The sequence below is a fragment of the Homo sapiens genome, chromosome 14 (genome assembly GCF_000001405.40).
Source record: "Homo sapiens chromosome 14, GRCh38.p14 Primary Assembly".
In the NCBI taxonomy this organism is placed as follows: Eukaryota; Metazoa; Chordata; class Mammalia; order Primates; family Hominidae; genus Homo; species Homo sapiens.
This window is the reverse complement of record NC_000014.9, coordinates 78,596,796-78,614,232: the sequence shown is the minus strand read 5'-3', so window position 1 is coordinate 78,614,232 and position 17,437 is coordinate 78,596,796. Positions and strand designations below refer to the sequence as shown.

At 41.1% G+C, this 17,437-nt stretch overlaps 1 protein-coding gene across 52 annotated transcripts in view, besides 1 other annotated feature; it reads right to left on the bottom strand.

Annotated features, from left to right (window-relative positions):
- Positions 1 to 17,437, bottom strand: part of NRXN3 (neurexin 3) — a 1,697,919-nt gene that overhangs the window by 1,254,059 nt on the left and 426,423 nt on the right. The window lies entirely within an intron of this gene.
- Positions 15,893 to 15,942: a silencer, noted in NCBI's record as "silent region_5982". NCBI's record gives its function as "represses an Ori minimal core promoter by ATAC-STARR-seq in GM12878 lymphoblastoid cells {active_cell/tissue: GM12878}" and the evidence as "EXISTENCE:reporter gene assay evidence [ECO:0000049][PMID:35858748]".

Here is a 17,437-nt window from a genome sequence, read left to right as displayed (position 1 = left end):
TTAAAATGCTGAACTGTTTGACACCCTCTTGAATGAGACCAGTCCACTCTCCCTCACCTGTGTGTTCCCACACATGGAATTACTACAAAAGTGCTTAAATGCTTACTCTCAGTTTCCATATTTATATCCTTATGGATTAGTAACAAACAGCTCTTGGACGGCACTGATGTGCAGGAAACACCTTGAGCAGCCCTGAACTAGATAATCTCTAAGCTACAACCAACCCAAAGAGTCTAAAATTGTATGATCTTCATGAATATCAATTATTTCACTGGTGCTATAATAGAGCTTGTAAGAGAGGTTGGTGCCTGAAAGTCCTTTGCTTGAGTTCTCCGTGATTTCTGAGTGTACTTTTCTGGTTTAAGAATGCACTTGGTTTTCTTAAGTTCTCTTGAGGTTGTTGCTTTTGACCTAAAAGATTCTGGTCTCCTGAGCTATGTATGTTCTGTTAGGATTTCCTTCTGTGGTCTTCCTTGGGGTACTTCTGTCCCGGCTTTATTTTTCTCACTCAATGAAGATTTGACAACTTCCAAAGTTCTCCACCAATTTCACTTGCTGTCTCTAACCCTCCCACCTGGTATGGAAACTAGACCCTAAGTCCTCTGGCTAGCTCTATTCCTTTCCAAGGGAAAAAAAAAAAAAAAAAAAAAAAAACTATGGTTGTGAGACAGTTTTCTCCTCTTGCTTAAAGACTCTGTGCCCCCTTTTCTCTGGCTAACTTGAGATTCACAGTTGCCTCGGAAGTTCCAAAATTCCAATAGCTAGATAAAGGGCTTATTATTTTCTTACATTTCTTTGAATAATGAATAAAAATGAGATAATGGGGATAATTTCTGAACAGTCTTCTTAATACAAAATCTAATTTTAAAATTTATCAAAATAATGAAACATGTAAAAATATGTCTCAATCCTGAGAGTACTTATTTCCTGAACCAGTCACTTTTACTTTTTAAGAATAAAATATAACTACTAAAATGGCATAAATACTAAACAAACACTAGTTATCTTTATATCATACAGCCTCAGATCTGGATAAGGAATGGCAGTAAATCCACTTAAGAACTTAGCGCAATTAAACAAGTTAAAGGAGTCAGAGGGACAATATATTAATAGCAAGGAGGCTGATTGGCAAGGCAGGCCTTTGGTCAAGGACTTGCTTTCTACACAGCAAGGATTTGAACTGGCAGACCACAGAAATGGAATCATCTCTGGTTCCTGCCAGTTCTAACATTCCATGATTATGTGATATGACACTAAGGTTCATTTCACTTTGAGGAACCATGCACGGGAAATAACTATACAGGGAAAGAAACCAAGCAACAGCAACCAGAGACTTGCTGTAATTTTAGCAGCTGGTTTTCCTTAGCTTTCTCACCACCACAGAACATTTTGTTAGAGGCCTACTTGAGTTTCCACAGCTAAAACTGGGGATGGCTGCCAGAGAGAAAAACCTGCAGGAAGAGTTTCAGTATGCAGGAATGAGAACAAAGCATTACAGACAGAAAAGAAACAATACAGAATAGCAAATCTCAACTGAGTACCAGACTAGTTCAAAAATCTAAGCCCTGAAGAGTGTAAGTAATTTTTCTAAAGCTACAAATCTGGCAAGTGGCAGAGCCAAAATCCTGGTCAGTATGTTCAACATCAGTGGGTTGAAACACTGCACTGCATTGCCTTATCCATACAAAATTTTGCACATGTTTTCAAGGGGCTCAGAGATCCCAGGTTAAAAAATATTTGCTGGGAAGTACAAACATTGATCTCTTTATCAATATAAATCATTCTTTCATATGATTGAAAACCACTATATTCATTACTCATACTGTACCTTCTACAGATGTACACATATATTTTTTGACATTTAGTTCTTCCCTCACCAGCCATAACTAGAAATGAAAACATGTTTGCAATAGCCATTCTCACTCCATTTGTAATCCTTTCAAGACCCAAAGAACTAAGAAACTTGATCTCAGATCTTTCCAGAATTTAGAGTCTACTAAATGATATTTCAACAGAAGATGAGGGTGCTATGACAATCCAACCAACAGGATGTAAGAAAGCAAGTTTAAACTACAGCAACAACTTAGAGAAGGGTTTTCCTCATGCCAAGTCCATCAGTGATGTCCTCTGGACCTCAATGTACCACGGTCTTTTGCAAAACAGAAAGCTGTTGGCCACCAAAATGCCCCCACTTTCAAGTCAAAGAGCACACCACGCCCTTCTGCATACCAAGATTTCATGATTATATAATGATGCAATAGGAGGTAATGAGCAGATAGACGTCTTGGGTTTAAAGAGTAAAAATGAAAACAAAAATAAACCAATCTTATCAACAATTCAAAGGCACTTGTCTGGAAGAATCTGTAAGTGACTGGCAATATAAGTAAAGATCTAAAGACCTTCTGAAGTCTCAAAGCCTAGAAGACTTTCTCTGCACCTGCAGATTATTCAGTAAGAAGATAGGGTGCTAGTAAAGTGGGTAGAAATTGGTGACTCTGAAGTTTTTCATGTCGTAGAAAGGAAAGAGTCCTGTCTAGGGGCTAGAAAATCTGACTTGCAATGCAGCTGCTGACACTTACTTGCCTGATCTTGGGTTCAACTTCTCTGAGCCCCTTTAAAAATCTGCAAAATAAACATCAGTGTCTAGGCCCTACCTGTCTTCATAGGGTTGCCTCACCCTCCAAATGAAAAAGCAATGTATTTGAATGTGCTTTGGAACTTGTAAGTCATCATGCAAATAATTGCATTATATATGTATGCTTTCTGGTATATCCATAAGTGATTCAGAGAGAAGGAAAAAAAAAAAAGAGGAGGGAAAGGAAGTACAAAAAAGAGAAGCTATAGAAGGGAGGAATGGGAGAGAAACCAGGAGGAGGGAGAAACTGGCATGGAAATGAGGGAACAAAAAGAACGGAAGGGAAGTAAATAGAAACTGGTGCTGGTACAGTAACAAATAAATCCCCCCAGCATGACAGCCTTCTGCTGAAGCATTTCATTTTCCCACAACATAATGGTGTGTTATTGCCCATTATCTGTTCTGTCAGTGCCAGAGTCGATATTAAATGAGGGGCAGCTGCATTTAGCTGCCATTTTTCAGCTGTCTTCACGTTGCCATGGAGGCCCGGTTGTTTCTTGGTGAACCTGCCAGGAAAGCAAGGAGGAGTTGGGTGGAGGGGGAGCAAATGCTGCATGGAGTTGGGGTGTCAGGGAGGGAAGTGAGAGGAAGGCCAAGGGCCAGGGGCAGGGGAACATGACAAAGGAGAGAACAGCATGGAGCTGGCTTATCATTCTCTGCTTCCACCTGATAAATCAGTCATTTCCAAAACACAATCTATATTCCAGTGGTCCTATGCAGCAGATTCTCCTCTGCATTTCCTCTCAACTCATATTCTACAGCAGCTGAGTGGATGTGGAGTTCCGAGTAATTGTAGATTTCTTCCTTCAACTCCTTCCCTTTCTCCCCACACCTGCCCCCCATGGTTTCACCTGCACCTTGGTGTCAACCTTAGAGAATGGCTTTGGATCTCTCAATCTCCAACATTCAGAATACAAAAACCAGTTTCATCAAGGACATCAATACCTGGGCTCTGCCCAACCTGTATGTTTTCTCTAGAAGGTATTTGGTTTTTTCACAGAATCATCAACTACTTAAATCTACATAGGGTTTTAGAAACCAGTGAGTGTTTCCCCATTACAAATTTTAATATCAAACAGAGACAGTTTGCAAATAAGAGAAGGGGACCTGGCATGAGAGACCAGCACACACCCCAAGTGATGAGCCTTGAGGACCTAGAAACCTGATTCTTTGCCCAAAAGGGGCAGCAATGCTTACGCCCTTGGAAGAGCAGGAGCCTGGTTGGCCAGATCTTAGGATTTTTCAACAGAATCCAGAAATCTATTTTTGAATAAAATTATTTAGCTTTGAATAAATAATAAAAATGAACTTATTATGGAAGAAGCTACCTCAATTGACAAATTTCCAATTTTTAAACGTTGGCTCAGCTTTTTAAAATATTTCCACGTGCTAGTTGCATGGGCTGTCAGTTTGCAGCTGGACTTAGTCCAACATCATTTTAAAATGAGGCTAAGAAAGGCTAAGATACTTGACAAAACTCTTCACCTTCCCAAATGTAACTTTCCATTCCATAATCTAATTTGTCACTTTCTTTCTCTCTCTCCTCTCTCTCTCTCTCTCTCCCTCCCTCTCTCCTCCCTCTCCTTCTCTCTATCTCACATTCTGTTACATAGTAGAAGGTAAAGACAGCTGTGAATTCACTTCTTCAAGGATCCCTGTTTGCTGGTACCATGCATGGACTTGCATATGAGGTAAACGTTTTCCAAGATCCCTGAAAATTGTGTGCCAGGTATCAGAAGGAGATCACAGGGTATTTTCCTGGCAGCCCAAGCCCCATTAGTACTTGTGCCTGTAGTGCCTTTTCCACTACAAGCATACTTTTGCTGGCTTTTAATTACCAATTATAAAAATAAGCAAAGTGGTAATTTATTGAACACTTACTAGGTGCCAAAAAGTATTTAACATGTACTTTCTGATTAAATTCTCACAAGAACTCCTGGAGTCATATATTATTATTACCCCATTCAACAGATGAGAATGCTGAAGGTCAACCAAGGTCATGCAGCTAGTATGAGATCAGGCCAGGAATCCACTCACATCTTTCAGAGCTCAAAGCTCAAGTGCTTAACCACTAAGTTCTACCATCTCCCTACAAACTAAGAAAATCACAGAGCCTACTTTCATGATATCCTATTCATTTCCTTCTTAGTCCCAAACTTTAAAGTAGTGTGACCGTTTTTGCCAGGACCTGGGTTTCTCCATCATCCTCCTAAACAGTAAGTTTAATTAATAACATCTTTCATTAGAATCCTGGCTTTACTTTCCTAAGTTTACTTTCACCTGTGCCACCTCACCCTTTTTTTTTTCATGGAGGTTATCTCATGATATCTGCCTATCTCTACCCTGCCCTTAACTACTTCCTCCTCCAAATGACAGCTAGCATGATCTTTCCACGTGTAAATAGGATCACATGATTCTCTTCCTTCTCAAGTCAATCAAGGTCTCCAGCTATTAGTTTCAAGATGAATCTCCATCCTGACTGAGCTATTCAAAGTCTTTCTGATCTTATTTACTTCGTGACCTGGCCCAGCTGTGCCCTGAATCCTATCCCCATTCACTCCCTCCCAAAGCATACTTAATGCCCGTAGTATTAACCCACCCATAGCTTCCCAAATATTGTAGATTGCTACAAGCCTCCCTATGCCCAGCCCTTTTTCTGGAATACCTCTCCACCCCCACCTTACCAATCTGTGTCCTACTCACACTTCCCAACACAGTTTAAGCTTCCTCTCCTCCAGGCAGCTGTAGTGATCCCCATGTCTAAATCAGATACCCCTTCTCTGAGTGTCCTCTGCCCCAGGGGTAGCACTATGGTAATAATTATCATATTACACTGTAATCTTCTCAGAGGGGAGCGACCCAGGCTAGGCTATTCAATTCTGCATCCTGGAACATTGTGCATTGTCATTAAATGGTTATTGAGTAGATTACCCATCTCAGTCGACAAAGAAATAAGGTAATTTCTAAATCTGTATATATACCCTTCCTGGCATTAAATATAATGGATCAAGTGACACTGAGCTTAATAAGAAGGTTTTCCTTGTTGGTACTACACCCTGTACCAGGATTCCTAAACAATGTCCCACTAGTGAGGATTTAGTGCAGCATATACACAAATATGTAAATAAATACAAATCTGTATAAATTAATCTATTTATGTGAAAACAGTAAAGAGAAATGTTTTAATACACAGTGATGTTTGGGCTATATTCTACAGAGTGGCTTTGGATGATAACCATGGTAGCATGTCTCTCTTTTGGCTGAAGGTATATCTAGGTTAGGGTTTTCAGAACACAACTGACATCTCTTATTCTCCATCCAAGCATCCTTAAGTGGGGGTGGGAAGTTGTAACATTTCAGACCCACATCAAAGACTCCGTTGTGTCCTCTGATGCCAGTGGACAGCAAGTGACTCCTATCCCAGACCTATGCAGGCTAAAACTACCACCATCTCCGCCAAGACTCTCAGAGTCCAACTTCTGTTTCATGTCTCTGGTTTTCTTTATACCTTAATATTGTTTTCTTAATACCTTAACATTATTTTCTTAACAAAGGGCCATTTCCCTCCTGTCTCCATTTTTAAACTGGAAAACTTAGAATTTTCTCACATCACTTACACACTAACCAACTTCTCAAGTTCCCCTAACAGCTACACTCCTCTTGCTTTATGGTGCAAAAGAGCACTTAGAAATGTTCCTACCAGTCAACTCTTCTACTCTAGAATGTTAAAAAGCCTAGGCCAAAAAATGTCACTGAGGGGCTCTGTGAATATCTGAGGATGTAAGAGGGATAGACTGCCATTTCTTTAAGTAGACACACACACACATCCACAGAAACCTTAACACAGATCGTGGAGAATAGCAACATAGTATGCCTGGTTCTTCCCTTACTTATCAGAATGGAACTGTTCAGTTTCACTCAAATAATAAATTTGGTAGGAATAAATCTCATCTGAAAGCTCTCCATGATAAGGTCACAAGAATAAACACTCTTCCCTCTACACATCTGTATCCTGAGTCTCTAGCACAGCACCAGGCAAATAGCAGGTGCACGATAATAGTATTGACCCAAAGAAGGCACTGTGGGGACTTCCAGACTCATAGCTGGGCCAATGACGAAGGAGAGGACTGAGCCAAAGGAGGTGAGATCACTGTGTCAGGGAAGCGGATCAAAGCCTGGGTTTGCCTAAAGAGACAGTTGTCCTGCCTGAGTTCTTACACCTTGGTCCTTTAGGATTAATAAAGGAGCCAGCTCAAAGGGGGCAGGCCAAAAAGGATCAAATGCTTTCATGGAAGCTCAGCGGGAAAGGATTCCATATATTAGAATTCATCTCTGATTGCTCAAACTACTGATCCTCTTGTAATGAATAAAATATGCCACTGGAATGAATGCTTCATATTAATAAAGACATGATTTGGTCCTCTGAGGTGTAGGGAAAGGAGTATTCTCCCAGGGAGGAGACAGAGCTCTTTCTCTACACCTCTAAAACTTATCAAAGGCTGCTTACAAAAACTTACAATGCCCTCAGCTCCAACAGACAATGGGGCTGTGATCATAGAAATTATGAGCATGCCAGCCAGAATCAGGGAATTCAACCTAGGAGGATGGGGAACAGGAAAACGAAGACTACCTAAAACAATGAAAGCTTAAGGAAAATGTTTCTCTCGCAGTAAATAAATATTTCTCACAATTTCTATTGAGACACTTAGGTTTATACGTTACTTAAAAACAATCATCATACTTTTTTATTCCCCAATAAACGCTTACTCCATTTGTGGAAAAGGTCATGTTTTGGCTTTGCAACAGAGAGTATATGGTGTTTGTCAACAACACGCTGGCAGGTACTAAACCAAACATGCCCCCTGAGTTGACTGTCTCCTGGGAAAGAAAGCCCTGGCTTCATCAGGAACTGGAGCATTAAACTAGCAGCATATTTTAGTCCAAAACATATTTATCGAGCATCTAGGACACTGTGTTAGGTTCCAGAAATATAGATTTCAATAAAACATGGCTTTTCACTTAAGAAGTTCACAGCCTAGCGGGAGAGACCGTAAGTGTTTATTTAAATACAATGTGCTATCAGAGTACAGGGCAGGCAAATTCAGTAAAACTAAGGAAGGGACAAAGATAGGCAGGGAAGGTTTTCTCAGTGATTAAAGAGCTGAGTTAGTCTAGAAGAATGAGTAAGAGTTGGTTAGGGGGAAAGACAGAGAAGAGTTTCCAGGCCAAGGAAATCACATGATCAAAGAAAACTGAAGTTGGTATTTCCTGACTAAAAAAAATGTCAGATGAGGGCATGGCCTTGCCATATGACTACAGAGGAATCATAGGGGAAAGTCATTCAAGAGTCATGCATTGAGCATAGCTTGTATTTTTAGCACAAATCCATTTTTAGATGTTAATGTGTAAATTTCTAGAAAAATGTGGTTATTGCCATAAGGGGAACAGATGTCTTTGATTTTTCTAGTTTAAAGAAATCCAGCTTTTCTTCTAGTCTTGTACCCATGTCCCTTGTCCTGCTTGATCTTTTTTTCCTCTCTCTTCTTAGTCTCCACCTCCTCCTCAAATTCTTGTGCTGCTTGAAATAACCATCATCTATCCTTCTTCACACATTTTGTCATTCTGCTAATCCTAAGGAATTAAAAACATGTATACACACTCGCACACTTATAATCACATGAAGACACCATATGTTGAACTTTGTGATTATTTTATTATTTTAAAAAATCTGACTGCAGCAATCCTCTTTTAAAAAGTGGTTCCAATATTTACATGTAGCAGCTTTGTACACCAATGAAAACTGAAGCTTTTTTAAACATGGTTTACTACTACACCATTTAACACGTATAAAATGTGATTCTTCTTTTTGTTTTATTTTTTTTAAAGAAATCCCAACAAATGTAGATGTTCAAATATAGCACTTCTGGCTTCTGTTTGTAAAGACTGTAAAATGAGTAAAGATTTGATAGAAAAATACCCAGAGATGGCGCCTCCCATATATTTTTATGATCATGTGTAATAAAGTTCCTTGCCCAGTAGCATTTTTATATGACATTAAATTCCAGAATCTCACAGGGTTAGTTTTGATCTGACCTGAATGTCAAATTAGAGGCCAGAGATCCAATATATATTATTCACTTGGATATTTTTCCCTCTGAATTTCTTTTAATATTTCAACGGCATTACTCAAATAGAATTTCTTTCTCCTCCTTTTATAGGGCAGAGTCATTTACTTCCAGCAGAATCTGTGTGTTAAGAGTTCAGTGTTTCCCTTTGAGCTTCCAGGAAGTGCTTTAACTTATACAGTTAGATGTCAAGATACTAATGACTCCTTGTTCTTGAAGAGTGAAAACTGTGACATCAAAGGTGAGTTGTCTCATCAAAATACAGCAGGCTTCCTCTTGAGCCTGAGGGAAGATGATGACTTAAAACTCAAAAGGACCAAAGATGACTCCAGGTCAACTTGTGGGGTGGAGATGAGGAAGTAGTAGGGGAAAAAAAATCGAAATCCTTTGCCTTGTACTAGATCTCTTTAGAATCATGCCTTTAGGAAAATTTCTCTGAGAAAAATCTTTGAATGTGACTCTGGGGAACAGGCTTCTGACAATATATTTTCTAAATTTGATCTTGAATATCCTTTGAGACTGTCTTGAGAATTAGGACTCCGTATTTAGTCTCTGGTCTGTCATACACCCATGCTGTAAGAAAGTTATTGAAACAGTGCTTTCAATACTTTGAACATGGATCTTTATTGTTATCATTCATAATTGACTACTAAGGGGGCTCTTATGAATTTCTAAGGTTGAACAGCCTAGAGGGTAAAAGGTTTTCTCTTGATATTCTTATATGGCATCTCACAGGGAGGTCTGAACATGAGTGGTTGGGCCTCTTTGCCCAGTCAATGTCTTAACTCCTCCAGACTCAAATTCCTCTTCCATAAAATAAACAGAATGAAGGGGATCTCTAAAATCCTTTGCAGGGCCAAACAGGCAGCTAGGTTAGAAGTAAGCTAATTCTCACTTTTCCCATTTATAATCAACATGAGAATAGACCTCAGAAATGTTAAAAAGGATTTTGCTTTAACTTAATACTAAATTTCCTATTTCTCACCACAGAGTAGTTAGTACTCAACTGCAGCCCTTGGTTAGGAGGTTCTTTTTTCACTCTCTTCTTGGGTTATTTCTCTTTACAATGATACCGTAAGTATTTAGGGATATTCCTGTGACTCTCTTGTCATCCCTGCACAAAAATAAGTGAGTGAATAAACGATACTTGTAAATCAAAAAAAAAAAAAACAAATGACCAAGAGAGGATGACATGGTTTGGCTGTGTCCCCACCCAAATCTCATCTTGAATTGTAGCTCCCATAATTCCCAAGTGTTGTGAGAGAAACCCGGTAGGAGATAATTGAATTATGGAGGCAGTTTCCCTCATACTGTTCTTGTGGTAGTGAATAAGTCTCACAAGATCTGATGATTTTATAATGGGTTTCCTCTTTCACTTGGCTCTAATTCTCTCTAGCCTGCCTCCGTGTAAGACATCCCTTTGCTCTTCCTTCATCTTCCGTCGTGATTGTGAGGCCTCCCTAGCCAAGTGGAACTGTGAGTCCATTAAACCTCTTTCCTTTATAAATTACTCAGTCTCGGGTATGTCTTTATTAGCAGCATAAGAACGGACTAATACACAGGAGAAGAGGGAGCAGAAAAATCTGAGATCCAAATTCTTATTTTCATAACTGTGACTGTCGGTGCCAACAACTTCATTTCCAATGACCATCTAGCCTATGAAGGCCATGGCTCATGGGGCTAGTCTAGGTGCTCCTGATCCTTGACACTGTCCATCCAAAGTCAAAGGGGTCCCAGCAGGCAAGGAGAGGTCTTGTCCTAATGATGTTGGTGGTTATTTATTAATCACAGCCCACATTCACAAAGAAGCAAGCAGTAAAATGAACATGTGTAAGGCAACCGCAGCTATTATCATAATTTCTAATTATAACTGTTTAGAGGTCTTTCAAGAAATATAATTAAGTTTAACATGCCAAGTGATAAAGAAAAAATATTAATCCATCTTCTGTCCTTTCCTACCACCCACCGATAAGTCCTCTCTCTTTCTAAATTATATGTAAAATACTCTACACTTGCTCTGTGTTTTCACAAGTGGCACGGTCAAAGGGAATTTATCCCTCAGAGGACAAGGCAGTTGGCTGGGAACCCCACAGCTGCTGCAGGCAGCCCAGGATTTCAGTTAAAGGGCTCTTGATTGCAAACCTCAAGAAAAAGCAAGAAAAAATATATCAAAACATGATGGGTAAAGAAATGAGGGTCCTTGTAAAGTAGGCAGGCAGGCCTTTTAATGCCATCAAAACAAACAGGGCAGGAAAGAGAGCAGCAGGTGGGCAATGCAGAAGACCTTTGGGAACCCTGGGGAAAGGGAAAGGGAATGAAGAGATTTCAGGCCTGGGCAGGGGACACGCTGCTTCTAACCATTTTTTCTTGGGAGAAAATTTTATTTAGCTCCACTGTCTACTACCTCTCAGAAAAAGAAACAAAAAAAGTGCCAAGAAATGGTTGAATTTGGAATAAGAAGACCCCAGCTTGCCAACTTGCTGCCATGTCTCCCCACGCTAAGCACAGAACAGGCCTGCAGGCTCCTGACACTCTCTTAACCCTATGCCATGAACTGAAGGGCAGGGGACAAAGGGAAACCAATATTCCATCCCTTCCCTAGCTAAGGTCATTCTCAAGGCATCTCTCTGACCCAGTAGCAAAGTGGATTTATGAGACACAGCTTTCCCCAAGTTATCTCTGATCAAGGACTCTGAAGACACAAGGCTGGTTTAGAAAGCCAGCCACCACTCTCTGCCCTCATGGGCCGGTGTGGGTGTTCAGAGTCTTGAGAAATCAGAGTAGGAATTTGCTTCTAGCTGGGCTTCAACCCCTGGAAAAAAGACCATTATGCCCAGACCAGAAACTGACCTCTGCGGGACTGGAGAGGTCTTGGAGTTGTCTGGAGACACTACAGCTGCTCCTGGGTAACAACATTACTCTTTCAACTAAAGCTACACTGACCCAGAGTGATACATCAGACATGAAAAGGCAAAACAATTACTCAGTTCACTTTCCTCTCCCAGGGGTTCAGTCTCTGCTGCCATCAGTAATAAGGAAGGACGTCAGGTGCCCTAGAAAGAAAGCCAAGAAGAGAGGAAGGCAGGAGTGAGGAAATAACAATTCAGACTCCAAAATCCAGTACATGGGCCACCTGGGAGGAGAATGCTTTGCTTGCTTTTGAAGGTAGAGTTCCTTGGAATTTAAAAAAAAAAAAAAAAAAAAAGGCTAATGTGAAATGCAAACCAAACCAGAGAAGCCTATATACCCTACATGTATTCAGAAAGAAAATTGTTTTCTGAAGGTGATAGCACCAGTAGTGATTTCTGGAGAATTAATCACTGTGAGTGTTTGAAAGGAGGATGATAGAAGACCTTGAAACTCCTTGTGAGCTACAGGTCAGCGCCCATCTCAGATGACTTCACAGTGATGCATGCAGAACAGCAAATCTTAAACCTGTAGTTCATCCAAGAATGCCAACCTGACATAGGCAATCAACTCCAAAGTGACTGATAGCATTTTCCTAACCTTAGAAATGACCAGACTTTCCAAGGTAAAATATTTATCTTTGAGGAGACACTCAATGAGGGAGAAATTTAACTGAGCATGTTATGAACCAAGACTGGAGGGAGAATAAATAGCATAAACCTTTTTACCAGTTGTATTTACTCTGATAAGCAAAATGGACCAAGATGGCAGAAGATGAGGGTGCCAAAAAGAGTTCATTTTCAAAGAATCAAGGCCAGGCACAGTGGCTCACACCTGTAATCCCAGCACTTTGGGAGGCCGAGGTGGGTGGATCACGAGGTCAGGAGATAGAGACCATCCTGGCTAACATGGTGAAACCCTGTGTCTACTAAAAATATACAAAAAATTAGCCGGGCGTGGTGGCGGGTACCTGTAGTCCCAGCTACTTGGGAGGCTGAGGCAGGAGAATGGCGTGAACCCAGGAGACGGAGCTTGCAGTGAGCCGAGATCATGCCACTGCACTCCAGCCTGGGCAACACAGTGAGATTCCATCTCAAAAAAAAAAAAAGAATCAGTACTTTTCAGGCTATAGAAAGATGAGAAACTTGCATGAAGGACCACCCTCATAAGCTCGCCATCATAGGAAATGTATGGTCATAAAGAAACCCTATATTTTACTCACAAAATTGGCATATGACCAAAAAGAATGGCTCTGGGTATCAGTTGAGAACTTCGGAAAGTGAAGTCATTGCAAATGGATTTTTTTTTAAGCCAAAAGTTTTTGTTATAGTCACTGATATTATTATTATTGCTACAGTCAGTGATATTACTGAAGTAGTGTGTTGGAAGGTTATCCACAAGAATGCAGATTTCATTAAAATAAAATTCAGCTGCAAAACTGTATCCAGGTTTTCTTTCAGGGATTAGCATGCAGGTCCTGGACACATGGAGGCAGATATCAAAGGCCAGATCAAGGTGATGAAACCCTGAACTAGGGCAGTAAAGTAGACATGGAGAGGAAGAGTCTGTCTGGAAAGATATTTGAGAAGTAGAATTGTAAGATCTGGTGACAGATTCGTGGTAAAAGGCAAAAGGAGAGATGGGGTTGAGCAAGGGGAAAAGGTCTAGGTTAATACCAAGTGATAGAATGGATGGAAGTTTTTCATTCTTCCATTTCTATACTTCTAATGAGAAATAGAGAAGTGACTTTTGTGGAGCAGAGGATAAATTCAGGTTTAGATGTTTGTTGTTTGAGGTTCTTGTGGGACAAGTAGGTAGAGATGTCTAATAGAAAGCTGGGGACACATGTCCAGAGCCCTGGAGGGTGATCTGGGCTGCCAATTTGGAGTTGAGGCTCATTAACATTAAGGTGGTAGAGATTGTCCAGAAAGATAATGTTGGGGGAAGACAAGGGAGTCAAGGACAGAACCTTCAGGAGCACAAGTCCTTGATAAGCAACAAAAGGAAGCAAATCATTAAAGGTGAATGAAGAAAGAGGACAATCAGGTGTCACAGAAGCCAAAATAAAGCAGATCTACCTCTTGGGAGATGTGGTTTTATGACTCCTCAAATCTGTAATTAGGTACAAACATTGGGAACGGTATTAAATGGAGCTGGGGGAGCCCAAAGGGACAAGAGACACACATTTTTGACTTTATGACAGTATTGTAGTAGGGAAGGTCATATGAGTGTAAGATACATATCTATAAGGTGGGGCTCTTTTAGCACCAGCTGATAGGAGCCACCTGTTCTCTTCAAAGTCCCAGCCATCTTTCCCTATTTGTGGTGCTGTATAACAACCAAATTGGGAGTGAAAAAGCTGGGTCAAGAGTAGGTGTGTCAGGTACTAGAGTGGTTCCACTGTCGGATACCCAAGACCAGCATCAATCCAGGACAAAACTGGGTAATAAATGAATGTGTCCCTCTGCCCCCCTCGGTCACCTGTCCTCCCAATTGGCACTCCCTCTCTTATGTGTCTAAGGGACACGTGGCTGAACCCAGTTTATAGTGGTGCTTCTGCCAACTGTGAGCTGAGGAAGAGTGGCATGACTTGCAGTGCAGTGAAGTGCTTCCAGAAATTTCTTAAGTCACTTTATTCTGCCTATCACCTGGCCCAGCCTATAATGATAGCTGGTGGTACTCCATCTTCCCCACCACCAGGCAGCAAGCTTTTCATGGGACCCTTTTCCCTCCTATTATTTCTTTTTTTCCCTATCCATTTAACCCTGTCCCAGCAAATACTTTAGAACACCACAAGTATCTCTGGCACTTTGGCTCATGAGGGCTTTTAAAGCTAAAGAAATTTTTGAATAGTGTAAAAAAAGAGTGATCTGGTTGAAAACTAATGTTAGGCTGTAGGGACAAAAAATCTGCAGGACTGGGTGAATGACTACTGAAATGGAGTTTAACAGTGTCAGGGGTTGGAGGGGTACAGGAAAAGGAATCAATGGTGATCCTGAAGGTTGGAAGACCAAGAAGTGTACAGACAAAGCATGTAAGTTTGGATTTTGTAGAACTATCTATGTAACGCTGACTTTTAGGTAAATTGTCACTCGAAGGCACCAGATTGCTATGTGTTAACTATAGACTGAGAAATAAGACTAAATTTCTATTATGAAGCAAGAAAGGTAATTCAAGCTCCTCATTTTCAAAGGAAGAAATGCAACACGCTATAAAGCATATCATTTAAACCCTCAATAGCTTTGCCAGCATAAGTTGCATTCTAAATGTCTGTAGGTGGAAAGCCGCTAGGTTTCAAAGATGCCCTCTTCGATGCCATGAAATGTGCTATTTCCCCTCATTTCCTTTCCATGAGTTAAACTCTTGGAAGAGGAAGTAGAAGGAGGGAAGTTTTGCCCAGTAAATTGGGGATTCTTGTCCCAAAGGGTAAAAGAAGCTGATATAGTAAACTGAGTTTTGTCCCTGCATGCTGCATCTCTTCTCATTCCACTAACCTCTTCAGCCTCTCCATAAATTAATCCTCTTGTATTATTGCCTGTTACAAAGGGCAACCGTCAGGGTAAGAAGACCCTACTAAGAACTCTCTGCCTGAGCCCAACATCAACAATGCCCATATGATCTTCAGCAATCCAGCTTTTTTATTGTAACCAGAGACCAGAGTTCTAACCTTCTTGAAATAATCTCCACCTAGACCCACCTTCCAGTTTATCTGAGAACTCACTTAAAGACTACACCACAATAACACATTCTGCAAAGACCCCGCGTCCCAGAGATGGCACATACCCCAGACTGCCTTGCTCCTCTGCAAACCTTAGCCAATTACCGAGATATTGGCTCCCTCTGCTACAACTACATATAACCCTGTCTTCAAAGCCAAATGTTAAAAAGCCTCATCCATATTAACCAGCTCCCTTTGGGAAGTGATAATTGGAAAACCACATAATGATATCTGTTTGCTAGAGAAAACATCTAACTGAGGCAGAAGTGACACAGCAAATGTGTGACTGCGAGAGCAGACCCCAGGTGCCTTAGCTGCCCCAAAACATGGACATGCGACCGCAGAAGAGGCAGGAGCGTCCCAGCGCTGCAGCTGGTACAGGGTTACTCTAGACGAAACAGGCCCTCTGTGTTACAGATCTGACTTCCAGAAATAGGAAGGATGATGCTCTTTCCCTCCCTCCCTCTCTCTCTCTCTCTGCAGAATCTCAGGTCAGGAGTTGTGCTGAAAGAATCCCGAGCCCCCTTGGCAGTCAGTGTCCCAGGAACCCTTGCTCACGTGTCAGCGGCACCACCAAGCCAAGTCTGAGGGGGTGCTGGGTATGCTACTGCATTCTAGCCACTAGAGGGCAACAGAGTCACATCCACGCCTCTGGCTCTGGTTCCATCACCTGAAAGAAGAGTAAACTGCACACAAATCACTGCCATGTTCCTCAAATTGAAGGCTACAGTAATTATCCATGAAAATGAGGAATGCAGAATCTACTACTCTGTAAGGCTGTCTGGGCTTTGCTTTATTTTGTCAACTTGCCCTTCAAGGTGGCCCAGAGCTGTGAAGCAGAGACCTTTTGAGTTCTGCATCATCGAGGGTGAGTCTTAAAGTCCTCCTGCTTTTAATCCTGATGGTGCTGGCAGCTGTAACCCACCCTTCCTGTCTTTCTGAGATGGCAACAATATGCCAAGAGGGATCAACTAGCCGTGGTCATCACGTGCATCTTCTTGAACCACAGATACCCTTGCATCCCCTTGACTCATGGCCACTGTTTATATGTCTTCATGAAAGGACATTGAAATATGGGAAAATACAGAGCTGGGTGGTAGGTGAGAAATGACGAAGAGGAGGCTTCCTTGAACAAAATGGAAAGAAGAAAAGCCATCCCCAGTCCATAATCTTATTGTTAGTAGGGCCCTTGGAGATATCCAGTCCAATACCTCAGCTTCACGGGCAGAGGATCTAAGGCCCTGAGAATTCTGATTGCTCTCCAAGGTCAAACTATTGAATGGCAGAGCCAGATTGAGGCCTGAGGCCTCCAAGGTCCTTGCTATATTCTTTCCTGTACCCCATGAAGCTTCTATTGGGTCCTTTGTAAGATGCAAGATGGGGATGGAGATAAAAACTGGAAAAAAAACAAAGAAAATAGATTCTTCAGTTTTTGTAATCAACATGTAGTAATGTAGGATAAATTTAAGACAATATTACTTCTCCCTGGAAAAAATAGGATTCTATCTTTAATTGTAGAACGAAAATATTTTCTCTTAAAGGAATTTCAGTCATCAGTACAGTGTGGAGGGGTATTTTATTTAGGGAGCTCATCTACATATTTTTAAAGTCAGACACTAAGCTCACCTTTTCCTCACCCTCCTTATCAGCTGATCCTGCATTTATTCCAGCTTCTCAGACCACCTCATCCCCGACACAGTCTTCTCCAGCAGTATGCTGGCCTGGATCAGATGGTCAGATTATGCCCTCAGGATCTTTCCTAACCTTTCAGAGCAGAAAAAGAAAAAGTAAAGAGGAAACCCCCAGGATACTCTCTCTCTGTTGATCAGGGATCCTGGGACTCTCCCAGCCCTCTTTGCACTACTCAGTGTCAAATAACAACGAACGTTTTTGCAGCTTTCTCTTTGCTATTTGATCTCCTATAGCCATCACTTGAGCTATTTTCTCTTCATTTTCATTAATTAATTATTCTGTTTAGACTGTGCCCTCAGAGCTCTGGCAGGGGTGGGAGGAGGATAACAACTTTATTAATGCAGTTATTATATTACTCCT